This window comes from Homo sapiens, chromosome 19 (assembly GCF_000001405.40).
Source record: "Homo sapiens chromosome 19, GRCh38.p14 Primary Assembly".
NCBI classification, from domain to species: Eukaryota; Metazoa; Chordata; class Mammalia; order Primates; family Hominidae; genus Homo; species Homo sapiens.
Window position 1 is genome coordinate 38,656,749 of NC_000019.10, and position 24,410 is coordinate 38,681,158.

Below are 24,410 nucleotides of genomic sequence, written 5' to 3' on the forward strand. Positions count from 1 at the left end.
CTTTGTGGTTTGTTTTATGTTTTTTAAAGTTTCCCCCCCAAAGGTGTGGGGCTGAGTGATGTCTGTCACTAGCTTTCTAGTGGGTTTTTCTTTTCATCTTTTCCCCTCCCTGATGTCTTTTGAGAGTGGGTGGAAGCCACAGTCTAGGTGGATCAGAGGAAGCACAGAAGGCAGGCAGTATACCCCACTTTGTGTTTTCCATGTCTGAAGGGAACACATTTGGTTTTTGTTCTGTTTTGATTTTTTAGAGACAGGGTTTCACTGTCACCCAGGCTGGAGTGCAGTGGCCTAATCATAACTCACTGCAGCCTTGAACTCTTGGGCTCAAGGGATCTTTCAGCCTCAGCCTCCCTAGTAGCTGGGATTATGTGTGCACCACCATGGCCAGCTAATTTTAATTTTTTTTTTTTTTGAGATGGAGTCTCACTCTGTCACCCAGGCTGGAGTGCAGTAGCACGATCTCAGCTCACTGCAACCTCTGCCTCCCCGGTTCAAGTGATTCTCCTGCCTCAGCTTCCCAAGTAGCTGGGATTACAGGCGCGCGCCACGACGCCCAGCTAATTTTTGTATTTTTAGTAGAGACAGGGTTTCACCATGTTGGCCAGGCTGGTCTTGAGCTCCTGACCTTAAGCGATCCACCCACCTTGGCCCAACAAAGTGCTGGGGTTACAGGCATGAGCCACTGTGCCCGAACTAATTTTTAAATTTTTTGTAAAGACTGGGTCTCACTATGTTGCCCAGGCTTTTAATCTGCAAAAAGCCCAAGATAAAGAGTTTTAATATCTTACCTCCTGAGTAGTAATGACTGATTCCAGTTCTAATAATGTCTTAATTACAGCTATACAGATTGAGGGGACTGCAGGAAGTGAAATAGATGCATTTCTTTTTTCTTTCTTTCTTTTCCTTTTTTAAATACACACTTCGTTTCGGTGGTGAAGGCCAGTTTGAGGTTAGGAGAGGCATCTTGGAAGGAAGCTCGCAGGTGGTTCGGCATCTGGACATGCTGGGAAGTTGCCTGAGGGGGACGTCACAATAAGAGGACTGTGGGTCTACAGCCTGCCTTAGCAAAATGACAGGCCTTCTTTTACCAAGGCCAAGGGCAGTGGTGGAAGCTGACTTCAGTTGGTGTCATCAAGGCCTCAGTATGTGTAACGGTTAACAAATTACTATTCTATGATCAATCTCCATCTGGGTGTGAGTAAAAGGTATTTAGTTGCTATCACCATGGAAACCAAGTTGCTTACTTACTGTTTTGGGGAGTGCCCTCATACCAGAGGCAGTGCTAATGGTGGAGTGTTAGGCCCCGGGCAGAAAAAAAGATCCTGCCACTTGGTATCACAGGAAAATACCTACAGGCACAGCAGCCTTGCCAGGTAGGGGATGAAGGCCCTCTGTCCTCGGGGCAGGAGTTGGGCCAGTTGATTGTGTTGATGAGGAGTGTGCATTTGTGCATGAGAGAGGGAGAAGAAAAAGGAGAGCACTCCATGAAATCCGCTGCTGGCTTTGTAGCCTAGAAGAGTGCTTTTTTTCTCTAGGAGTTTGGAACTGGAATCTCAGCTATGTGACTTCTTAATAATAGGACAAAATATGCCTGTATCTTTTGCCTACTTCCACAAACACTGATAAATTAAAAAGAACTCTAAATTTCCCACAAATCCCAAGCACAAGTAACTTTTTTTTTAAATCCACATCCTCCCTAATCCAAATCTAACAGCAAATCCTTTTCTCTCTGTCACTCCCTGCTTTTCTTTAAGAAAATGAGTACCTTGCCTTAAACTATATATTGGATGAAAATATTAAACACTTTCACAAAGTGCTTCTTTGGCTGTTACTGGTATGCCTTGCATTTGGAAGGGTCAGAGATTTGAAGACTTCTGTGATCTTCCAGTTCTGGCCTATGAAATACAGTCAGTTTCAAAATTCAAAATGTCTGGAAGAGCCAACTTGCCAGGCCGGTTCAAGGGCAGTCAGATGAATCGACCCTTCTTACAGGCTGTCTACGAACCAGTCATGATTCAGATATTCAAGTCCTGGAAGGTATCCAGACGGTAAACATCACCAGGATTGTGAGGCAGTTACTTTTTTTTTTGGATCGTTTGAGCTACACTGCCAAGACTGTGGTAGGACTTGTCTGTGTAAAACAGAAAGGGCTGTCTCTAAATGTCTTTTTCAAGAATGTCGGCTATAATCACCCGACACTGTGTCTCATGGTGGGGTGAGATGAAATACCTAGACCGGTTAGGGGAGGGCCTTCTTGGCCATTTTTTGAACTAATTTTCCCTTTCCCTTTGTAACTTTTTTTTCTTCTTTTCTTTTCTTTTTTTTTTTTTGAGACGGAGTCTTACTCTGTCACCCAGGCTGGAGTGTAGTGGTGCAATCTCGGCTCATTGCAACCTCCGCATCCTGGGTTCAAGTGATTCTCCTGCCTTAGGCTCCCGAGTAGCTGGGACTACAGGCATGCATTCCACGCCCAGCTAGTTTTGGTATTTTTTAGGAGAGACGGAGTTTCACCATGTTGGCCAGGCTGGTCTTGAACCCTTGACCTCGTAATGCCCACCTAGGCCTCCCAAAGTGCTGGGATTACAGGTATGAGCCACCGCGCCCAGCCCCTTTGTAACTTTCATTAACACTGATGAGGCACAAGCCATAGGATAGAATTGAATCCATTGAGAGCTGTGAGCCAATTGAGGGATGATTGGTTAATAGATTGTGGCTTGAAGCTGTGGAAGGTAAGGGGTGACACTTGACTCCTATTAGCCTTGTAGAAACACCTCAGAGATTCACAGGAAGCAAACTTTGACCATAAAAATATAAGACTCACAGCGCACCGAGTTCTCTTAGCAGCTACCTTAGAGTTGAGAAAGTTTTGGGCCTCTTTAATAAACAAGCACAAAGCAGTTCTTGCCAAATACGGCCTGCTCTGGGGCCACAGGGTTAGCTTAGGAGACAACTTTCTTGCCTAAAAATAAATGCATGTTCCTATCAGACATTCCAAGCATAGTTTAAACATGAGACTTCTGAGCAGCAGCTCAAGCTCTGTGGGTTCAATTATGTCAGAGTATGGGCAGTGAGGGTCTTTGGGGAGTGTGCCCCCTTATTTGGGATTGGTTGTGGCTACCAAGGAAATCAGATGATCAAATGCAAAACTTCCTCCATCTTATTTCTATATGATCTTTTTTTTTTTTTTTTGAGTTGGAGTCTTGCTCTGTTGCCCAGGCTGGAGTGCAGTGGCAGGATCTCAGCTCACTGCAGCCTCTGTCTCCCAGATTCAAGCTATTATTCTCCTGCCTCAGCCTTCCAAATAGCTGGGACTACAGGCGTGGCCATCATGTCCGGCTAATTTTTGTATTTTTAGTAGAGACAGGGTTTTGCCATGTTGGCCAGGCTGGTCTCCAACTCCTGACCTCAGGTCATCCACCCGCTTTGGCCTCCCAGAGTGCTGGGATTACAGGCATGGGCCACCGCCCCCAGCCTTATTTCTACACGTTCTTGATCTATCACAGGCTGGTGGGGGAGACAGCATGCATATAGATAATGAACAAGGTAACTTCAGATAGGATTATGTGCAATAAATTAAATAACAGCTAGCATTTTACCTTGTGCTAGACACTATTCTAAGTGCTTCCCATGGACTGACTGGTTTTTGTTTTTTTTTCTTTCCTTTGAGACTGAGTTTCGCTCTTGTTGCCCAGGCTGGAGTGCAATGGCGTGTTCTTGGCTCACTGCAACCTCCGTCTCCTGGGTTCAAGCAATTCTCCTGCCTCAGCCTCCCGAGTAGCTGGGATTACAGGCACGTGCCACCATGCCTGGCTAATTTTTGTATTTTTAGTAGAGACGGGGTTTCTCCTTGTTGGTCAGGCTGGCCTTGAACTCCCAACCTCAGGTGACCCACCCGCCTCAGCCACCCCAAGTGCTGGGATTACAGGCGCGAGCCACCATGCCCGACCCATGGACTCACTTGTATAATCTTGTGAAGCAGGTGTTGTTACCCTTACATGCAGAAATGGATCCATGGGCCTTTAAGCCACTTGCCCCTGTGACAGTGCCAGGATTTGAATGTAGAAGTTGAGGCTTTCAAGTTTATGCTGTTATTTCTACACTACACTGAAGTCTAGTGATTGGGAATGGCTTTGCGAGCGGGTGGTGAGGGGAGGAGTGTGCAGTGCAGGTACTTCAGATGGAGAGGAAGGTCTCAAAGAGGTGGCATTTCAGCTGTTCCTTAACGGATGAGAAAGAGAGAACCAAGAGAGCACCAGAGGAACGCGCTTCCAACAGAGAAAACCAAGCAAGGGGGCCCCCGAGGAGCAGAAAGGCCCGAGTGGTCAGAGCGGAGCCCGTGGAAGAGATGGGCACAGCCAGATTGCTTAGAGCTGTGTTGTTAGAAGTGCTGATGAGTCTACATTCAACTTGCGCCTGCAAACTCAGTCCCTCTTAGATGCCAGTAGGTCAGGAACCTCATGCTTCCAGGACTCTGGCGCTCCTACCCTTTCCTCCCAGGCCTCCTGGACAGGCCAAACCAGAACTGACTTCTAAAGTGGGAACCCCAAGACGGCAGAACATGAATCAGCCAAACAAAAGCTGCAGTTATCTCTGTGATGATTTCGGCAGTCGGCACGTGTATTTGATTAAAGCGTTGGTAACTTTGAATCTGGAGTTTTATGGCACTGTGTACTACTCATAATGGCTTTGTAGTGTGGCTCTCTTAGGGAGCTTAACTTTTACAACATGAACAAGTTCCAGCCTCCTTTGGTCCCATCAAGAGGCCATTTCTACCTGGTGGGATGCCACTTGCTTTACAAAGCATCTTTTGTAAAATGTTGAGTCTCCTTCTTTGAAGTTGGAAGCCAGGAAGCCTGATTTTTTTTCCAATAAGTATTGTAGAAGATGGCAGCCTGATTTATTTTTATTTATTTATTTATTTTGAGACGGAGTCTCACTCTGTTGCCCAGGCTGGAGTGCAGTGGCACAATCTCGGCTCACTGCAAGCTCCACCTCCCAGGTTCACGCCATTCTCCTGCCTCAGCCTCCCGAGTAGCTGGGACTACAGGCGCCCGCCACCATGCCCGGCTAATTTTTTGTATTTTTTGTAGAGACGGGGTTTCACCGTGTTAACCAGGATGGTCTTGATCTCCTGACCTCGTTATCCGCCCGCCTCGGCTTCCCAAAGTGCTGGGATTACAGGCGTGAGCCACCGCGCCCGGCCTGGCAGCCTGATTTTTAAACTGGCTTTTCTCCTAGGTCCTTTCCTTCTCTATAAATCCCTCTTTCACTTAGTATTTCCTCCTTGTTTCCTTTGGTCAGTTGGAGTGAGGGTGGTTCTAGTTCAGAGAAAGAGACAGGCATACAGGCTGATTCAGTCTGAGGTGCTTAGCTTTCTGTACCTCACTGGAAACCAGTCCAGGAATATGACAGGTTTCAGTAGGTTTCATTGGACCCACAACTCCCCATTTGAAGGCAGAGCTTGTCAAACGAGTTATGTGGCTTTTACTCAAGGAGGGAGGAACAGCAACAGGGAGCTCTGGGCTATTGATAGACACTCCTGCCTCTGAACACACAGCACCCAGCAAGAAGTTACCTTCATGGGTTGTCTAGAGTGAACATGGGCTGGGATTCTCTCAGCCTTAGCACTGATGATTTGACAACAAAAATCGCCCCGTGGGTAGAGTATAACGGAGCAAATGATTATGGTGGCCTGTGATGGTGCAGCCAGCCCAGCTGCTTCAGCTGGAAAGAAGATGGCGAGGTTTCCATTCTCCTGGCAGCATAGCCATGTGAACTTGTTAAATCTTTTAAGTAGCTGTATAGGAGGGGAGATAAGTGTGTGTGTGTTTATTCTTATCCCCTTAAATACAAAAACAAAACTTCCACTTTATAAAATCAATTCAGAGTGGGAAGAGGTGCATGGCACATGGAAAATGTGTCGGATTAGGTTGAGTCCTACCCCACGTTTGGGACACAGCTGTAAGTTTCCATGGTGGGTGGCTTATTATGCATTTATGCTGAGCTGAACCTGCTCCAAGCTGCTGCAGATAGGAAAGTCTGTCTTGGAGGGGGAGCTGCCTCTTTCTATCACACTATAAAGACATAAAAGGTCCTTTGAAAGACTCCAGCAGTCACCACTTGGGTAACAGAATTAGGGGCTGCTGAGCAAAGTGGGTCTGTTTTTTTTTTTTTTTAAAGACAGAGTTTCCCTCTTGTTGTTCAGGAGTGGAGTGCAATGTCACAATCTTGGCTCACTGCAACTTCCGCCTCCTGGGTTCAAGTGATTCTTCTGCTTCAGCCTCCCAAGTAGCTGGGATTACAGGTGCCGGCCACCACGCCTAGCTAGTTTTTTGTATTTTTAGTAGAGACGGGGTTTCATCATGTTGGCCGGGCTGGTTGTGAACTGCTGACCTCAGGTGATCCACCCGCCTCAGCCTCCCAAAGTGCTGGGATTACGGGTGTGAGCCACTGCGCCCGGCCACATTTTATAGCCAACCGGCTTCTTGTGTAACATGAGTTGGGGCTTCTTGGGCCCCAGAGTCCAGCACTCAGGTAGAAATATGACCGCCATGGCCAGACAGCAGCCCTCGCTGGGCCCCTCTTCAGAGCAGAGCTCTGTGCCGAGCCTTTAGGGGTATGAGAGAAACCGGAGACCTGGTCCGTGCTCTCAAAGAGCTCGCGGTGTAGCTGGGGAGAGAGCAAGGCCACATGAGACCTCAGAAGGACACTAAACGGCACACCGACAAGCTCACAGCACTCTAGCTGTGTCCCGGGAGAGGAAAGGGGTGAATCAGGGCAGGTGGGGTCAGTCATGGAAACTTTCATAAAGGAGGTGAGTGTGCAGGAGGGGCGGGCCTTTGCCCCCGCTGCGGGCAGGTTGCCGAGGGCAAGTATTAGGGGGTCCGGCGTGCAATCGAACATTTCTTAGCTGCCTCTTTGGAGTAGCGCTACCAGTTCCTGTCCCCATGAGCATCGTCTTCGGGGAGCTGCTGGTTTGAAGGATGAGGTACCATGCTCATCTTGGCCATGTCTTAGAACCTGTGATAGCCAGACCTGTCGTTCTGGGTCCGTATCCATTCATGCGTCCTGTCACTGTCACAGATATCGTGAGTGGGCCAGACTCTTCTCCCCAGGTGGGAGGGGGTGCCTTCTGAGGCATATGTTTTCAGCCTGCTGATGGCCTCTTCAGAATTAGCACAGGTTTCGACAAAAAGAATGGAGAGACTCCCTTCTCATGTCCAAGGGTCTCCCCAAGCCCTGTGTCTCAGCCCCTCAGGGCGTGTGGTGCTGCACACTGCCGCCCAGATGACCACGCGCAGCCGGAACGGCCGCCCTGTATTGAGAAGTGGGATCGGCTCCCAGTCTGCTGGCGAGGCTGGGTTGCCACAGCTCCTCTGTTGCCCTGCAACGCGGGTGGCCTAGGAGTGTGCTGCCTTCAGTTTATTCCTGCCTGCCAAGCTACGCTTCCAGGTGCTATTCTTTTCTTTAAATAACTGCCTTAGTGCTGCTTGTGGAACTTAGCGTTCCCATCCCAGGAAATACTCCAGTGTTGTGTTTTTTTTTTTAAACTCATTCAGATGCTCATGGCCAAATGTGTGACTTAAATACCGCAGTGTCCTTGATATTGCCTTCCCCACACCGACAAACCGAGTTGCATTCTGGTCCCACTGTGGGATAAGGTTAGGGTAGCGGCGCTTGCCTCTTTGTGTGGTTTCAGATGTGTTTCTCCCCACTTCAGATAACACATGACAGCTGTAATATAGCTCAGTTCGTGCAAGTAAGGTAGGGGCAGAAATCATCCAGGAGAACTCCAGCCTCCATCCTAAAGGATTAGACTGCCTAGCATCAGTAGGTTTACCATAGAAGGATTCAGTGGAGATAGCGAGGGTGGTGAGTGTTGCTGGATTGAGCCCGTCCCTGCAGCCTGGGCACGGGAGCACTGCAGTGCCATGAAGGAGAGGGCTGGGGGATATTAGCACAGCCGGTTCCTATTTCCTTTTCCACCTGGTTAAGACTTCCGGGGAGGCCCTGCCCAGCAGTCCTTATGAGATGCTGCCTTCCTCTTTTTTGAAAGGCATAGATGATAAGGAGGTGGACATGTTTTGAGAAGAGAACCTAGAGCTCATTACTTGTATTTGAGGCATGTATTGCTTCACTCCCACTTTGGGAGAGTTTTTTCTGGGGAAGTTAAAGGCTATTCAGGATCAGAGAGTTTCCTGCATGGTCCCAGGGGCTGGGAGGAGCCACCTGCTCAGCTGGTGGTTAGCTGATAGCACCCAGCCTACCCACCAAGATAGGAGGCAGCTCAGATGTCACTGGGATTCGCAGTACCACAGGCTGTCCCTGGGCCCAAGCAGTTAGCTAGCTGCACCCCGGGAGGGGGTGTTGAGAGCACTGAAGCTCCTGTGGGAGAGTGCCTTTGACATCCCCCACTCCCCACTGCCCAGAACTAGGAGGTAGTGAAAGGTGTCAGTGGCAAGAAGGCTGGGCCAGAGCATGGAGGGAGGCCGACCTGGGCTCCACACCCACCTCCTCCACCACCGGCTGGCTGTGCGACCCTGGGCAGGTGGCGGGGGTTAAGCCTCAGTGTCCTTCTTTGAAAAGGGGCATCATCCTATCCTCAGTTTGAGGATTAGACGTGATAGTGCGCAGGAAGCACTCTGGTGCCTGGTACATTGTAAGTGCTCAATAAATGCAGCTTCCCAAAATGATTTCAATGGCACATGGTCCTGCATCCAGGTGGGATCTGCTACTTGAGTCTCCCCCTCAAAGGGGCCTGCTGAAATACGCAGCTCAGTGGGAAACCAAAACATACACCCCTTTCCTCCAGTGCTCCCCAGGAAGCGCCAAGTCCTGAGCCCAGCCAGCAACTTCGAAGAAGTGCCCTCCAACAAGTGGCAGTGGGCACTTGAGCAAGTGACTTAACGCAGCCCTCTCCCCAGCCCCTGCATCCATCTGGGCCTCATTATCTGGGAGGTGGCTTCTTGTTTCAGAGTTACAGGCCCTGAACAATTTTGTGTTGGGATGTGCCATAGGCAGTGCCAGGAAGGTTCTTTCATGAGTAATTTAACTTGTTACTAAGTTTGCTATCAGCCGGGGGGCTCTTTCCCCGGGTTCCCTTCTTTCCCTGGGTCCCCTTCCCCGCAAAGCAAAGTCCAACTCAAGTTAGAAACATCCCACAGCCTGGAGTCAGGCTGCCCTCTCTTCAGTTGGTGTGTGATGTAGAAGCAGGAAGGGCTTCCCACTGATAACCCTAAAAATAACTGCCCAGAAATGCTGTCAGATGGGGCCAAGAGGTGCACAGGAGCCTGTGCCCAGCTGCCGACCTGGAACGTGGGACTTTCTAGAGGGCTTGGAGGAGCCCTGCCCCTTCCAGGCCTCTTCCCAACAGTGCTTCTCACGCCTGCTGCTCCATTCCCTTTTCCTCCTTCCTCCCGCGCCCCCCCCTTTCCTGGGGTCACTTCCTGATGCCATTCTTCAACTTCGCCCCTGTCCCCCCCAAAAGCAATCAAATCCACAACCTAATAAGGCAAAAGAATGAGGAGAATGTCCGCCTCCCAGCCTCTCCCCTAACAGGGTGCAGGCCTGAAGCAAATTTGGAAAATGTTACAACGGAGTGACAACCGATGGGGGCTGGGGGTGGGGCGGTGCAGCCTTGTTCAGGAGCTGCCCATTGTTGGCCTGAGGCAGGACCCTAAGGGAAGGCCACCCGGTTTGCGCTTTCCTGATCAGGCTGTTGACACCCTTCTAGCACAAGAAAATGTATGGAAAGTAACTGCCTGAGTCAGCTGCATCTCCAGTTGTGGGATCCACGTGCCAGGAGAACACGAAGTACACACAGGTCCGCAGTGGGAGCCCGCTCGGAGACACCTCCCCGCCATCACGGCTGGGACTGTGCATATCCAAACACTTCTTGCCTCTGAGATGAGCAGTTTTCTTCCCCTTGACTGTGCCAGGGTTCAATTAGCCTGGGCATTAATTAAAACTTGTCAACACTTAGAGTGGGGCCCCCAGAAATCTGTCACCCCTCCTAGATCATTATCCCAGGCTAATCAACCCTCTCTAAGGCAGTTTCCATTCTTGACTTAGTGGGAGGGAGGAACAAGCCCCTCGGTGCTGGGGAGCTCTGGGGGAGGTAGGGACTGACTGGGCCCAACCCACTTTGTTTTGGAAGGTCAAGCTTAGTAATTAACCTGAATGCTTGGGGGAGGGGGTGAAGGAGAAAGAACTGAGTCTAGGGATGTGCCAGGTCTTTCAAATTGCTAATTATCAGCGAGCATGAGGTCATCCGTAAATATATCTAATTCTTTAGCTTGTAATTAAGGTGCTCATTAAAAGTGCAGGGAAGTCTTGTTTTCCTAAAAGGGGAAAAAAACAACAACACAAAAAGTCTTTGTTTTGACCTGACACGATGGCTCAGAACAGGGGGAGGACTCAAGGCACAGGACTAGTTTCCTGCCTTAAAGAGCCTTTACAGGAAATTGACTGCAAACAGTATTGGTGACCCTGCCAAGGAGGCAAACCTAGGGTGATGTCATTGTTCGAAGCTGTCACCGCCAAGCCTCTGGCCTTGGGGCGAGGAGAGTTGGTGGGATTAAAAAATGAGTGTGTGTATGTGTGTGTGTGTTTAGCAGTCTCTAAAGAGGCGAGTCAAGGGAAAATCCTAGCGGGAGAAAAATCACAAGGGGTGGGGGGTGTCTCAGAAATATTCTTAGCTGGGTTCAACTTTCCTCGTTTTTCTAAGTTTAAAAAATCCTCTCTTACTATTTTTGCTCATCAAAATGCTGCTGCTTTTTCAGAGACAGCCTTTTTTGAGCCATTCCCTATTTAGTGTTTTGGGTAATTGGCTGTTACAGTATGGAATTTGTGGCCCAAAGGCAGCGTGGTAAGTTAGACACTAGGTGCACGGTGCCCCATTGTTATGAAGTGTGGAAACTGAGACGCTGGACTAGTCTGATGTATCTGTTTCTTCCACCAAAAAAAAAAAAAAACCATTTTGGAGAACTACCCAATGCCAGTGACTTGGCATCTCTGAGTCGCTAATCTTCCCATGTGCCTCCAGGAACCGTCTGGAGCGTCCCTGAAAAAAGGACAAGGTTTGTATCTTGTCATTTTTCCTCTGGCTGGAAGTCTAAGAGGTATAAACACAGTCTTAAAATGAAAGCAACAAAAATAAACTCAAAGCAGCCCTGCGTGAAGGCATTAATGCAAAATATGCAAGCTGGCTTCCTATTTATACGGCGGAAGGCAGTCAGAAGAGCCAGGCCTGGTTAAGGAAGGAGTTATGTCTCTGGAGGTGCCTGTTCCTTAGAATTACAAATAAACCCTGGGTGATTACTCAGATGAGGTTGTAATGTGGTGTCTCATTTCATGCTTTGCACAGTCCAGTTTCTTGATGGAACCAACGGCCTCTGAAATGCTAATGCAGGATCAGGATACAGTTAGAGTGCCCCCCTTCCTGTGCCCCTCCTAACATCCTAACAGCTTTAGAAGGAAGTTTGAAGATTAAACAGGAGAGCCATGTAAGTTTCCTGTGATCCTAGATCCTGTGATTTGTTAATATTCTTTCTCTTCAATCCACCTGACATTTACCCAGATACCATATTAGGCTTGGAGATACAACAAGAAAGAAAACCAACCCAACCCTGTCCTTAAAGAAAAGATGGACGATGAAGGGCCAGGCGCAGTGGCTCACTCCTGTAATCCCAGCACTTTGGGAGGCCAAGGCGCACAGATCACGAGGTCGGGAGTTTGAGACCATCCTGGCCAACATGGTGATACCCCGTCTCTACTAAAATACAAAACATTAGCTGGGCATGGTGGTGCGCGCCTGTAGTCCCAGCTACTCAGGAGGCTGAGGCAGGGGAATTGCTTGAACCTGAGAGGCGGAGGTTGCAGTGAGCCGAGGTCGTGCCACTGCACTCCAGCCTGGCAAGAGAGTGAGACTCCATCGCAAAAAAAGAAAAAAGAAAAAAAGAAAAGATGGACAATGAATTGCATGATGGAAGTGAACAGTGTTAGGGCGATATGCAGATGTAAATGTGGTCTTGTTTTACTGCTCACTGACTTACTGAAGTAAACCCATTGACTTCGCCTTCATGGGTTTGAAAAGGGTTTTTCCAATGTGCTCTGTGTGTCTCGGAGCTCAGGTGTTCAGAGCTGCCTCCCTTATAAATCGACCTCCAGGAGAGTTGTGTGTTTGGTTCTTGGTGTATGGTTTCGTAGGCTCCCCAGGGCTGAGGAGTCACCTTGGGATCCAGCTTTTTTTCTTTTTTCGAGACAGTCTCTCCCTGTCGCCCAGGCTGAAATGCAGTGGTATGCACTTGGCTCACTGCAACCTCTGTCTCCTGGGTTCAAGCGATTCTCCTACCTCAGCCTCCCAACTAGCTGGGATTACAGACGCCTGCCACCGTGCCCAGCTAATTTTTGTATTTTTAGTAGAGACGGGGTTTCACCATGTTGGCCAGATTGGTCTCGAATTCCTGACCTCAGGTGATCCACTGCCTTGGCCTCCCAAAGTGCTGGGATTACAGGCGTGAGTCACCGCGCCCAGCCAAAATCCAGCTTTTTCTTAGTTCCTGGCTTGGGGCATGTTGCTGGAAAGGAATGACAGATTGAGGCAAGAAGGAGGCAAGAAGGATGCATCTCCTGGCCAAGGAAACTAGAGTTTGGAGGTGTCCCCTGTCAATGGCATCTGAAGAATTTCTACATTGGAAAGGCATAGGTGACCCAGTCTGGTTTGGAGTAGATGGGACTGGGTAGGGGACTAGTCTTGAAGCTGCAAGCATGCTGTTTTTACTTAGAGCACAGGTAGCTGGGGAGGAGATCACTGTGGTGTGGGTGGCAGAAGCCATCCCTAGCCATCACCTAGGAAGATGGTGGCCCTTGGGTTGCCCGAGCTGCTGCTTGTTTTAGTAGCTGCATTTGGTGCCACATTTTTGTGGTAACTGCCAGGAAGCGGAGCCCAGCGTGGCCTCAGGAAGTTGGTGAGGTTTGCACCACTTTTTAACAGGCTGGTAACAGTGCCGGAGCTGACACCCTCATGGTTGCAGCCCTGGGATTTTGTTATTTGGGGACACTTTGGAATATGTCACTCAGAATGCTGGCTCACTAGCTCCACAAGCAAAAGACTCCTTGGGTAGCTGGAAGCAAGCGTTGGGGGAAGGAGGGAGAGGCAATTGCAGTCCAGCCAAGAATCTCAAGGCTCAGTCTTCAATGTATGGAAACTTCAGTCCTTTTCTGATCTTTAGTGGAAATAGCTGTTCACTCTTAGCGCCAATTGGAAAGTGTTGGCAGCTGAAGGGGGTCGTTCCTCAGGGGTCCCCAGAGCCAGTGTATCTGGTATTTCTAACATTTTCCTAGCCACCCCTTTCTCCTCCATATGCCCCTCCCAGCCCCACCATTCAGATAGGGTGGCTGGAAAGAACATCTCCTAGGTCCTCTAGGAAACTTGGTGTTTCCACTCAAGGGAGTTGGGGATCACGTAACACCCTCCACTTCCACCTGGGATTTCAGGCCATCTGTGGGAGTGCAAGAGCATGGTGGGGTGGAGGTCACAGGAAGGTGGAAGCAAAGCCAGGGCAGCTCCACATGCAGCCCCCTTTCAGGAACAGCAAGGATAGGCCGGCCTGTATCTTGTTGCTCAGAGCAGGTGATCCTGTCATTTGGACCCTTGTGAGGAGAATGGATGTGAGTGTGCACCTGGTTCTCTTCTCCTGGGGCTGAGGGACTGTGGTCTTGGATTATCACATGGTAGGTGAGGTGACAAAATGGAGGGAAGTAGCCTGGGTGGGGACTGGGGTGGCCACTGCAGAGCTCTAGCTGATGGTGGCCAGGTGGGAATGGGGACCTGGGACTTCACGAAGCTGGAAATGGAGAGTTTTATGGGGCATTTCATTCAACTTAAAAACCTGGCCGGGTACAGTGGCTCACGCCTGTAATCCCAGCACTTTGGGAGGCTGAGGAGGGTGGATCACGAGGTCAGGAGATTGAGACCATCCTGGCCAACATGGTGAAACCCCATCTCTACTAAAAATACAAAAATTAGCTGAGCGTGGTGGCTTGTGCTTGTAATCCCAGCTACTCGGGAGGCTGAGGCAGGAGAATCCCTTGAACCAGGGCGTCGGAGGTTGCAGTGAGCTGAGATGTCGCCATTGCACTCCAGCCTGGTGACAGAGCAATACTCCAACTTAAAAAAAAAAAAAAAAACCTGCAGGCCATACAAAATAGGGCCTATTGGGTGTGAAGAGCTACCCATTTGTGACCCCTAACCTTGCATGGTCTTGACCCTGTCTCTGCCTCTCCTCTAGTCTCCCCTTTCCTCTTGTCTGAATTGCTGCTGCTTAATCCTCTCACTAGGAGCGAGAAAATTGTACTTTGCCCCTTAGTGACAGCTCTGATAAAAGGTGGTTGAAGTGGATGGTAGTAAAAAGGGTTTGCTTTAGCTGTGGTTTTCCAGCCTCCGGACTCCTCCCCCTTTCCCATCACCATAGATAATTAAGAGTTGACTCCTCAAAATTCCTCCCACCATATTGCATATTTTTAGGCTTCAGGTTTTTGTGAACCAAAATAGTGGAAAGTTTTTTTGTTTGTTTGTTTTGGGTAGCCCAAAGCAACACTTTTCTACAGAGGCAGCCATTCTGCACGCACAATAACCTGGTGAACAATGCCAGCTTTCTATTAATAAATGAACTGCCAGTTCAGAATTTGTACCCATGTGGCAGATGGACAGAAATAGTTTCTTTAGGATTGATCTCTTAAATTTGACTTTGGGAAGATACTGGCAGTCCAGGTTTTGTGACAGAGATCCATCCTGAGATCTTTGTAAATGGAAAAGCCTGAATGCAGCGTTTCTTATTGATAGGAGAGTTGATGGATTTCAGGAAAATGGGATATAGTAGATGTGCAATGAATTTGTTGACTTGGAAACAAATTTGGACACTTATCCCTGAAAACTTCAGGCCATTTTTTCCTAAACTCTAATTGAGTCCCTGTGATTGGAGTACTAGCCCCACAGTCCTTATCAAACTTCGCATTTGGAGCAGGCAGTCTGTCTGGGAAAAGCCAGGAAGCTCGCCATGAAGGCATCGCCCTCTGCTTTTAACTTTTTTAGGCTCTGTTACCTCTGCACTGGCTTGAGTATTTCCTGGCTCAATTGTTTCTCAGGCTGGCCTTGAGTCCTTAGATGTTATTTGTGTGCCTAGAAATAGCTGGAAGAAAAATGGTTGTAATGCTTTGCATTGCTCACTGCTCTCCATGGATGGAAATTCTGTGAGGGAAAGAGGGCTTTCCACCCAGAAAAAGAGCTGGGCAGCGTAGACTTCATTGTCCTGCTGGCCTGTCATGTTATTCTGCTATACTACAGCGATTAGGATGAGAGAGTTTCTCGCTCTCCCTGGGTGTGCCACCTAAGGTACATTAGGGTAGGGACGAACATGGCGGGAGTTCTCATAGTGGGCTTTCCTGCCAGACGTATGGCCCACACAGCAGTATTTCTTACATGTGGTTCTTTTTTTTTTTTTTTTTTTTGAGACGGAGTCTTTCTCTGTCGCCTAGGCTGGAGTACAGTGGCGTGATATCGGCTTACTGCAACCTCCACCTCCCAGGTTCAAGCAATTCTCCTGCCTCAGCCTCCTGAGTAGCTGGGACCACAGATGCATGCCACCACACCTGGCTAATTTTTGTATTTTTAGTAGAGACGTGGTTTCTCCATGTTGGCCAGGCTGGTCTTGAACTCCTGACCTCAAGTGACCCACTCGCCTTGGCTTCCCAAAGTGTTGGGATTACAGGTGTGAGCTACCACACCCTGCCAAGGTTCTATTATTTGATCTATGTTCTTTGTTTGTTTGTTTGTTTGTTTTGAGATGGAGTTTCGCTCTTGTTGCCCAGGCTGGAGTGTAATGGCACGATCTCGGCTCACCGCAACCTCTGTCTCCCGGGTTCAAGCAATTCTCCTGCCTCAGCCTCCTGAGTAGCTGGGATAACAGGCATGTGCCACCACACCCGGCTAATTTTGTATTTTTAGTAGAGACGGGGTTTCTCCATGTTGGTCAGGCTGGTCTCAAACTCCTGAACTCAAGTGATCCACCTGCCTTGGCCTCCCAAAGTGTTGGGATTACAGGCGTGAGCCACCATGCCCGGCCCCTGTAACCATTTTTAAGTGATTGATCATCTCAGCATGATTGATGGAGATGATGGGGTTGGCCATCCATTCTTTTTTTTTTTTTTTTTTGGAGACAGTCTCACTCTGTCTCCAAGGCTGGAGTGCAGTGGCACAATCTTGGCTCACTACAACCTCTGCCTCCTGGGTTCAAGCGATTCTTCTGCCTCAGCTTCCCAATTAGCTGAGATTACATGCATGCACCACCATGCCTGGCCAGTTTTTGTGTTTTTAATAGAGACAGGGTTTTATCATGTTGGCCAGGCTGGTCTCAAGCCCCTGACCTCAGGTGATCCCCCCACCTCAGCCTCCCAAAGTGCTAGGATTACAGGCATGAGCCACCACACCCGGCCTATTCATCATTTATTGAGCATTTATTTATACCCACTATGTGCCGTAAACAAGGTGCTGAGTAATGAGATGTGAACAGAATAGTCCTTCTTCTTGTCCTCATGGAGCACACAGCCTAGTCGGGGACAATAGGCATTAAAAAATACCAACAATGAAAACCCAAGACATACATAGAGTGTTCCAAATTGTGGTTTTATTTTTTATATATATATATTCATATATATTTATATATATTTATATATATATTCATATATATTTATATATATGAATATATATTTATATATATTCATATATACTTATATATATTTATATATACTTATATATATTTATATATATTCATATATATTTATATATATTCATATATATTCATTTATATTTATATATATTCATATATATTTATATATATTTATATATTTATATATATTATATATATTTATATATTTATATATATTATATATATTTATATATTTATATATTTATATATACTTATATATATTTATATATTTATATATATTTTTATATATATATATTTATATATGTATAATTTTTTTTTTTTTTTTTTTTGTGATGGAGTCTCTATCACCCAGGCTGGAGTGCAGTAGCGTGATCTCAGCTCACTGCAACCTCTGCCTCCCAGGTTCAAGCAATTCTCTGCCTCAGCCTCCTGAGTAGCTGGGATTACAGGTGCCTGCCACCACGTCCGGCTAATTTTTGTATTTTTAGTAGAGATGGGATTTCACCATCTTGGCCAGGCTGGTCTTGAACTCCTGACCTTGTGATCTACCCGCCTCGGCCTCCCAAAGTGCTGGGATTACAGGCGTGAGCCACTGCGCCCGGTGTGATTATTTTTATGAAGGAAAAGACCAGAGTCCTTTAAGAGGGGACAGTGGGGGACTTGCAATAGATTGTGTGGGAGCTGTCAGGGGAGACTTTCCAAGATGATGACAGTGAAGTGAGGCCTGGAGGGAGAGTTAGAGCCAACCTCAGAGAAGGGAACACTGTTCTAGGCAGGAGGACCCAGGGTTGTGGGAAGAGAGAAATAAAATGAGACCAAGACAGTGGGGAGAGCAGTGTGAGTTGAAGTCAGAGGGGTGACAGCAGCCAGAATGTGCCGGTAGCGAGGATCTTGGATTTTATTCTAGCTGCAATGAGAGCTTTGATTCTACAAATATTTATTGCGTGCTAGTCACTGTTTTAGGTACTGGGTGTACAACAGTGAAAAAAGAACTTCCCAGCCGAGTGGAATGCCGTGGAGCATATCTGTTTCGATGCTGGGACAGATCCCTAACACAGCTCATTAAAGCAGATAGCACCATTCCGTCTCTTTCTTCAGCTTCACTTTACGTCAGTCCCAGCATTTTTATCCCTACCCTTACAGATGAGAGAACTAAAGTTCAGAGAGGTGACGTGACTTGCCCCAGGCCCCTCAGTCAGTAAAAGACAGAACTGAGAATCCAACCAGACTCTTCCCTTTTTAGGTTATTTCTCTAACATTAGGGCCGAGTATCGATTCTCTTTACCTCTGACTTCGTGTCCCTGGTATTAAGACTCAGGGCCCACAGTGCCTCTTGGAATTCAGGCATATGGTGACATCAGTGTGCCTACCATTCAGGTCTTGGAGAATAGGGTATGGCGAAAGGAGAGAACTCGTGATATCGCTGATTCAGTAGCCCAGAGTTGTACGAGTCCTTGGGTGTTTCACCTTCATCCAGGCATCTGAGATTGGAGACAAGCATGTGGCTGAATGACGTATCTGGGGGAAGCTGTCTAAACAGCCGTGTGGAGTTGGAGAGTTGAATTAGCTCTGTGGCCAAACCTCTGGGCTCAGTCTGCCTATATATGGCTTGATCTCAAAGAACAGGTGATAGCAGTAGGAGTTGTTTTCTGTGTTGCTGGTGGGAGATGCCCAGGCACATTCCTTTGTAGACAAGCACAAACTAGATATTTTTGAAATCGGAGGTCTGAAACCAGCCGAAGAATTAATCCTGGCCTGGAAAGCATATGGGAGAGTACAGCCAACCTGGCTTGGGTGTTGCTTTCTTGGTTTTGTTGCATTTTTGAGGCAGGGTCTTGCTCTGTCACCCAAGTGGGATCACAGTGGTACAATCATGGCTCATTGCAGCCTTAACCTCCTGGGCTCAAGTGATTCTCCTGCCTTATTTTTTGATTTTTTTTGTAGAGGTGAGGTCTCACCATGTTGCCCAGGCTGGTCTTGAGCTCCTGGGCTCAAGTGATCCTCCACCTTGGTCTCCCAAAGTGTTAGGATTACAGGCGTGAGCCGCTGCCCCTGGTGACTTTGTTGCTTTTTAATAAGCCCAGAAATTTCTTTCAAGAGGGAGGATCTTTGTGAACATCTTGAGCCGCGTTCTTGATCGCTGGCTGTGGAAGCCTCCACCTATCAGGCTCAAGTCCATGTTGCTATCATGTGCACTTTGGCTGGTGAGGTGCTGAGCAGAGGTTTCAGCCTCTACCACAAGGTTTCCTGATGAAAGGTCAGCTGGGTGGGCCCAGCTTCTCCTTACCCAACTGAGAGGCCTCATAGAGCACAAGGCCTGGGTACGGAGGTTCCTGGGGCTCCTGCCATACCCAGCCAGGCCAAGCAGAGGGCCCCAGTGTGTTGTTGGGTGCTGAGAGGCTGCCCGCAGCTCTCGCCTGTGTTGGAAGGCTGTAGACTTGGCTTCTCCCAAACGTAAGCTGTGAAGCCATGGACTCAGATTCTCAGCCTGGCCCTGCTACTTACTGTGGGACCTTGGGCAAGGAAGTCTCCATTTTCTCTTTTACAAAATGGGGCCAATAATCTGACTACCACAGGGCTGTCAGGATGCAGCGGGATGGAGCCTTTATAGGGTCTTGTTCTGTGGGATCTGGAGTCCCATATGGGAGTTATTAGTTGAGGGACGAGGCATCTGGGAATCTTTATTCAACTAGGAAACTTCAGCCAAAGAACTAATGCCATAGAGATGTCTTATGGTGTCTGCATTTGAAGCCAGCGGTTCTTTGAAAATTTATCCTGAGTTCCAGAAAGCCAACTGCTAGATAAGTAAGCATTGAGCATTTAAGGGGTCCTGGAAGTAAGATTCCTGGAAAGAAGCAGCAATCTCTTACTCATCCCCGATTATCTCAGACACAGAGTGGTGGATGGAACCTTTGTGGTTTAGGGGCTGACTCTTGGTATTGCTGGATAAGGAATATGAGCCAGTAGAGACGAGTGTGTTGTATAGCAGTGTCCTGCGACTGGGCTGGAGACGTGGCTGAGGGAGGCCAGGGGGCCTCAGAGTGCACGGGAGGAGGCTTACAGAGGTCTTTTGCATCCTGCAGAACACCACATGTGTCCTTCCCTCTGGGAAACCTCCCACCCGGGCAGGGCCTCTGGGGCCGGATGTGGAAGGTAAACAGGCTGCCTTTCTGCTCTCTACCACAGACAGGCCCGGAAAGGCCTGAGTAGGAGCTTTTCATCTCAGGAAGCCCTGAGGTCCCACAGCTTCTCCTGAAGCAGCCTCATTGTCCCTTTGTAAGAGCATGACCAGGTGCTCTAGCTCCTGGAGCACCAGTGGAGAACTAGAGTGGCCCAGGTGCTGATGCCAAGTTCGAGCAACAGCTCCTGGCGGGTTTCCCTGCATCCCCCCACTCACTCCCATCTATTCTTCACATAGGGGCCAAAGAACATCCTGCTTGACATCTTGATCAGTGTCCCTTGCCCTCAGGATCAAACCTGCAAGTCCCCAAGGCCCTGCAGGATCTGTTTTCTCCTCTCTGTGCTCCGGGCGCATGCCAGCTGCCTCTCTGCTCCATGCTCATTCCTGCCTCCTGAGGGACTTCACACGGGGCCCTTGCCTCTGCCCCTTTCGCCTCAGCTCGCCACCTACCTCCTCCTCATTCTTCAGATGGCAGTTTATGCTTCACTATTTGTAGGGCCGTCGCACCTGACACCTCCAGCCTAGGTTAGGAGCATGTCCATCACCTCTACTTCTCCTTTTAACTCCAACCATCCTTGGCTCTCCCTCTCGAGGGTCACGAGAGCAGAGAGAGAATCTATTTTGTTCACCACTGTGTCCCTACCATGTGGGACATTGTCAAGGCAAATGTAAGTGTGCACTAAATAAATATGTATTGAATGAATAGATAGCCAAACAGACAGAATGGATCTGCCACAACACAAACAGGATGCTTTTCAAGTGGGCAGAAGATGGAGACATCACTTGTCGAGACACTCAAACAAGTGGCTGGATGGATGAGTGGCAGATCCATTCTGTCTTTCTGCTTGGCTTTAGGAGTAGAGGGATCACCCATGGTCCATCCTCTGAGGACAAGGGTATCATGACCGCCCAGGCCCCACTCACCCCTGCCAGGCTCATTGCATCCCATCTAAAAGTGTGCTCTGGAAGGTCATAAGAAGTCCTCACCTGGGACACTTCTAGGCCCAGTGTTCAGCCAGCTGTCCTGAGTTCTGCATCAGTCCCTGCTAGATATGAAACACAAACAGGATGCGATGCTTTTCTTTTTTTTCTTTTTCTTTTTTGAGACGGAGTCTCGCTGTGTTGCCCAGGCTGGAGTGCAGTGGGTGCAACCCCTACCTCCCGGGTTGAAGTGATTCTCCTGCCTCAGCCTCCCAAGTAGCTGGGATTACAGGTGCACACCACCATACCCGGCTAATTTTTGTATTTTTGGTAGAGACAATGTTTCACCATGTTGGCCAGGCTGGTCTCAAACTCCTGGCCTCAAGTCATCTGCCTGTCTCAGCCTCCCAAAGTGCTGGGATTACAGGTGTGAGCCACCGCGCCTGGCCAAACAGGATGCTTTGCAAGTAGGCAGAAGAGGGAGACATCACTGTCCCATGGAGAGGTGGGAAAATCATCGTTAGCACAGGATAATTCATCCTATTTTGTGCTCATGTTTACTGAGCTAGGATTGACCTGTGTCCGGGCAGCAGGGACACAGAGGTGAGTAAGACAAAGAGAAGGCCCTTGCCCTTAAAAATGATACGTGTGGCTAAAACGCTGTAGACCTTTTTGTTTTTTCCTTTTTGAGACTTCCTTTTTATACAGAAATTGCTACCTGCAGGTAAAATTAACTTACATCGTGAAAGCGACAGTAAAGTGTTTCTAGGGATAGCTAAAGACCTAAGAACACAGCCCTGTGGTTTGACTGGCTGGCCACCTTCCTGCAGCTGGGTTTACTATGGTGCTGTGTTCTGGGACAGCCCACTCGTCTCCATTTATTGGGCTGAGCCTCGAGACCTGCAATACCAGGGAAGGAAGGGAAGTCTAGGCTGTCTTTGGTGGCCATTGTTATTTATGGGGCATCGGCAGAGAAGTCAGTACCATGGAAAATCTAGAGAAAGATAGAGGATACGCAGTGTGGTTGAGCAGAATCTGATAGCTCCCTGGCTCTCTCCGGGCCATGGGACCCAGGGCGACACAGCCACCCTTTTTCTCTCTGCTGTCTGGCTTGGGCTTGGGCTTTGTCTCCTGTGTCCCTCCACACCTTCTTCGCTGTCAGTGGTGACCAATCCCGTGGAATCAGCCACTGTGTGTTACCCCAAGTCCTTGCCCCTGGGACCTCGCTCTGTTCGGAGACAAAACCCGGGACTGTTTCTCCTTTTAAATGCAACCTTGTTCCACAGGAGAGGAGAAAAGCAAGAAAGAGGTGGCTTGTTTATCTGATGGTAGTGGGGTGTGCTCTGATATGCCTTTGAAAGGGGCCCAGCTTTGCTTTGCCCAGCGGCCTTTGCAGGATAATGAGAGAAGGAAAACACAGGGAACTTAGTGGGAATTTGAAACTGGAGTGTGGGAGTGGGAAAGTTCAGCTTTTACCTTGGAGCAATCCAGTCTTTCTCCTGTAGGAAAACAGAATGGTGCTGTATGGCCTCCAAGCTGGGTTACATCCTGGGAAAAAGACACGTGCTTGGCTATTGGCCTGGGCGCAGTTTATGTGTAAGCCTTTCCTTGTGGATTCCATTTTCTTATTTCCCGAATACTTCTCAGCCCCACAAGTCCACTGAGTCTTCTGTCTCCAGAGACTGCCTGGTTTCCATCCCCGAGGGCATCTGCGCATCACTTACCATGGTGTACCATGCACCTCCAGTGTGCCCGGCACTGTGTCAGGAGCTGGGGATACAGGTGCTGGTCCCCACCTCACTCCCCTCAACCTCTGCAATATATGATACATAACCCACACACACAGACCATATGCAAAAGTGGTGGGACTCCTTTGTACCTGTCACCTGCATCAGTGATTATCAGCATTTTGCCAGACTTGTTTCATCAGTGTCTCCCAACACACTCCCCCCAGACATTACCCATACGTGCTCAAATAGATTTGGGTGTGCGTGTGTGTGTGTGTGTGTGTGTGTGTGTGTGTATTTTTTTAGAGACAGGGTCTCGCCCTGTCACCCAGGCTGGAGTACAGTGGTGAGATCATAGCTCACTGCGGCCTCTGAACTCCTGGGCTTGCTTTGTTGCCCAGGCTGGTCTCAGAACTCCTGGCCTCAAGCGATTCTGCCACCTTAGCCTCCCAAAATGCTGGGATTACAAGTGTGAGCCACCGCACCCGGCCAATGTATGTATTTTTAAACATAACCACATACTGTTATATTTAATGCTTCTGACCATGTCTTAAGAAAAAAACAAAAACTCCCTTTGGCTTCCTTGACATCACAGTCTCTCTGTTTCTCTGACTCTTCTTCCTCATCTCCTATGGCTAAATTCTCTCCCTCTGTCCACTGCTTACACATGGGCATTTCACAATGTCCTTTTTCCCTGAAGGAACTTACCCCCTCCCCTCAGCCTTAAGTACCCCATCTGTGGGGATGATGCCCATGCCTGTAGTCCTGACTCACTCACCACGCTCTATCGCAGTTATTTACTGATGCATCTCTCTCCCCTATCAGACGCTGAGGTCTTTGATGGAGCAACCTTGTATTTGTCCGTGTATCCCCAGCACCACACCTGTCCATAGCTGGAGCTCAGGAAGTTTTTTTTTTTTTTTTTTTTTTTTTTTTTTTTTAAAGTCAGAGTCTCACTCAGTCGCCCAGGCTAGAGTGCAGTGGCACAATCTTGGCTCACTGCAACCTCCACCTCCTGGGTTCAAGCAAGCACGTCTGGGTAATTTTTGTATTTTTAGTAGAGATGGGGTTTCACCATTTGGCCAGGCTGGTCTCGAAGTCCTGACTGCAAGTGATCTGGCCGCCTTTGGCTCCCAGATTGCTGGGATTACAGACAGGCATGAGCCACTGCGCCCGGCCTCAGGAAGTAGTTGAATGAGTGACTGAATGAATGCCCACGTGAGCAAATGACCTGTTTGCTGAACTTTAGACTGACGTTGCCTGATGCCCACTGCTTGTGCAGTACGTACTTCAGTCTCAGCGTGTCTGAGACCAAACTCATTTTCAAGTCCCACTTCTTGGGCTTGGCATTGCCCATTTGTCAGCCATCCGAGTCAGAAACCTTGGAGTCAGCTTTTGACTTCTCATCCTGTAACAGGCACCAAGTTTGATTTCTTTCCCTTGAATATCTCTTAGAACCCTCACCTTCCTCCTTCTCTTTATTCCTACCATTGTCCTTACTCAGGACCATATAGTGAGGGTTTAAAAGTGCAGAGTCTTGGCCGGGTGCGGTGGCTCACACCTGTAATCCCAGCACTTTGGGAGGCCAAGGCGGGTAGATCACCTGAGGTCAGGAGTTCGAGACCAGCCTGGCCAACATGGTGAAACCCCGTCTCTACTAAAAATACAAAACTTAGCTGGATGTGGTGGTATGTGCCTGTAATCCCAGCTACTCAGGAGGCTGAGGCAGGAGAATTACTTGAACCCGGGAGGTGGAGGTTGCAGTGAGCTGAGATTGCGCCACTGTACTCTAGCCTGGGTGACAGAGTGAGACTCCAATCTCTAGAAAAAAAAAAAAAAAAAAAAAAAAGCAGA

General features: G+C 48.6%; 1 protein-coding gene across 6 annotated transcripts in view, besides 15 other annotated features; it reads left to right on the forward strand.

Moving 5' to 3' along the window:
* Positions 1–24,410, forward strand: part of ACTN4 (actinin alpha 4) — an 83,941-nt gene that overhangs the window by 9,100 nt on the left and 50,431 nt on the right. The window lies entirely within an intron of this gene.
* Positions 1,083–1,728: an enhancer, noted in NCBI's record as "H3K27ac hESC enhancer chr19:39148471-39149116 (GRCh37/hg19 assembly coordinates)". NCBI's record gives its function as "activates a minimal SCP1, AML or CMV promoter by ChIP-STARR-seq in naive H9 embryonic stem cells {active_cell/tissue: H9 hESC(naive)}" and the evidence as "EXISTENCE:reporter gene assay evidence [ECO:0000049][PMID:30033119]".
* Positions 3,510–4,200: an enhancer, noted in NCBI's record as "H3K27ac-H3K4me1 hESC enhancer chr19:39150898-39151588 (GRCh37/hg19 assembly coordinates)". NCBI's record gives its function as "activates a minimal SCP1, AML or CMV promoter by ChIP-STARR-seq in naive H9 embryonic stem cells {active_cell/tissue: H9 hESC(naive)}" and the evidence as "EXISTENCE:reporter gene assay evidence [ECO:0000049][PMID:30033119]".
* Positions 8,341–9,030: an enhancer, noted in NCBI's record as "NANOG-H3K27ac-H3K4me1 hESC enhancer chr19:39155729-39156418 (GRCh37/hg19 assembly coordinates)". NCBI's record gives its function as "activates a minimal SCP1, AML or CMV promoter by ChIP-STARR-seq in primed H9 embryonic stem cells {active_cell/tissue: H9 hESC(primed)}" and the evidence as "EXISTENCE:reporter gene assay evidence [ECO:0000049][PMID:30033119]".
* Positions 9,031–9,720: an enhancer, noted in NCBI's record as "OCT4-NANOG-H3K27ac-H3K4me1 hESC enhancer chr19:39156419-39157108 (GRCh37/hg19 assembly coordinates)". NCBI's record gives its function as "activates a minimal SCP1, AML or CMV promoter by ChIP-STARR-seq in naive and primed H9 embryonic stem cells {active_cell/tissue: H9 hESC(naive and primed)}" and the evidence as "EXISTENCE:reporter gene assay evidence [ECO:0000049][PMID:30033119]".
* Positions 9,361–9,655: an enhancer, noted in NCBI's record as "tiled region #8317; HepG2 Activating non-DNase unmatched - State 14:Gen5'". NCBI's record gives its function as "activates a minimal TATA promoter and a strong SV40 promoter by Sharpr-MPRA in HepG2 cells {active_cell/tissue: HepG2}" and the evidence as "EXISTENCE:reporter gene assay evidence [ECO:0000049][PMID:27701403]".
* Positions 9,361–9,655: a silencer, noted in NCBI's record as "tiled region #8317; K562 Repressive non-DNase unmatched - State 14:Gen5'". NCBI's record gives its function as "represses a minimal TATA promoter and a strong SV40 promoter by Sharpr-MPRA in K562 cells {active_cell/tissue: K562}" and the evidence as "EXISTENCE:reporter gene assay evidence [ECO:0000049][PMID:27701403]".
* Positions 9,721–10,410: an enhancer, noted in NCBI's record as "OCT4-NANOG-H3K27ac-H3K4me1 hESC enhancer chr19:39157109-39157798 (GRCh37/hg19 assembly coordinates)". NCBI's record gives its function as "activates a minimal SCP1, AML or CMV promoter by ChIP-STARR-seq in naive H9 embryonic stem cells {active_cell/tissue: H9 hESC(naive)}" and the evidence as "EXISTENCE:reporter gene assay evidence [ECO:0000049][PMID:30033119]".
* Positions 9,981–10,275: a silencer, noted in NCBI's record as "tiled region #467; K562 Repressive non-DNase unmatched - State 14:Gen5'". NCBI's record gives its function as "represses a minimal TATA promoter and a strong SV40 promoter by Sharpr-MPRA in K562 cells {active_cell/tissue: K562}" and the evidence as "EXISTENCE:reporter gene assay evidence [ECO:0000049][PMID:27701403]".
* Positions 11,249–11,328: an enhancer, noted in NCBI's record as "active region_14583". NCBI's record gives its function as "activates an Ori minimal core promoter by ATAC-STARR-seq in GM12878 lymphoblastoid cells {active_cell/tissue: GM12878}" and the evidence as "EXISTENCE:reporter gene assay evidence [ECO:0000049][PMID:35858748]".
* Positions 17,648–17,697: an enhancer, noted in NCBI's record as "active region_14584". NCBI's record gives its function as "activates an Ori minimal core promoter by ATAC-STARR-seq in GM12878 lymphoblastoid cells {active_cell/tissue: GM12878}" and the evidence as "EXISTENCE:reporter gene assay evidence [ECO:0000049][PMID:35858748]".
* Positions 17,868–17,937: an enhancer, noted in NCBI's record as "active region_14585". NCBI's record gives its function as "activates an Ori minimal core promoter by ATAC-STARR-seq in GM12878 lymphoblastoid cells {active_cell/tissue: GM12878}" and the evidence as "EXISTENCE:reporter gene assay evidence [ECO:0000049][PMID:35858748]".
* Positions 17,968–18,047: an enhancer, noted in NCBI's record as "active region_14586". NCBI's record gives its function as "activates an Ori minimal core promoter by ATAC-STARR-seq in GM12878 lymphoblastoid cells {active_cell/tissue: GM12878}" and the evidence as "EXISTENCE:reporter gene assay evidence [ECO:0000049][PMID:35858748]".
* Positions 20,875–21,034: an enhancer, noted in NCBI's record as "active region_14587". NCBI's record gives its function as "activates an Ori minimal core promoter by ATAC-STARR-seq in GM12878 lymphoblastoid cells {active_cell/tissue: GM12878}" and the evidence as "EXISTENCE:reporter gene assay evidence [ECO:0000049][PMID:35858748]".
* Positions 21,451–22,036: an enhancer, noted in NCBI's record as "H3K27ac hESC enhancer chr19:39168839-39169424 (GRCh37/hg19 assembly coordinates)". NCBI's record gives its function as "activates a minimal SCP1, AML or CMV promoter by ChIP-STARR-seq in primed H9 embryonic stem cells {active_cell/tissue: H9 hESC(primed)}" and the evidence as "EXISTENCE:reporter gene assay evidence [ECO:0000049][PMID:30033119]".
* Positions 21,641–21,700: an enhancer, noted in NCBI's record as "active region_14588". NCBI's record gives its function as "activates an Ori minimal core promoter by ATAC-STARR-seq in GM12878 lymphoblastoid cells {active_cell/tissue: GM12878}" and the evidence as "EXISTENCE:reporter gene assay evidence [ECO:0000049][PMID:35858748]".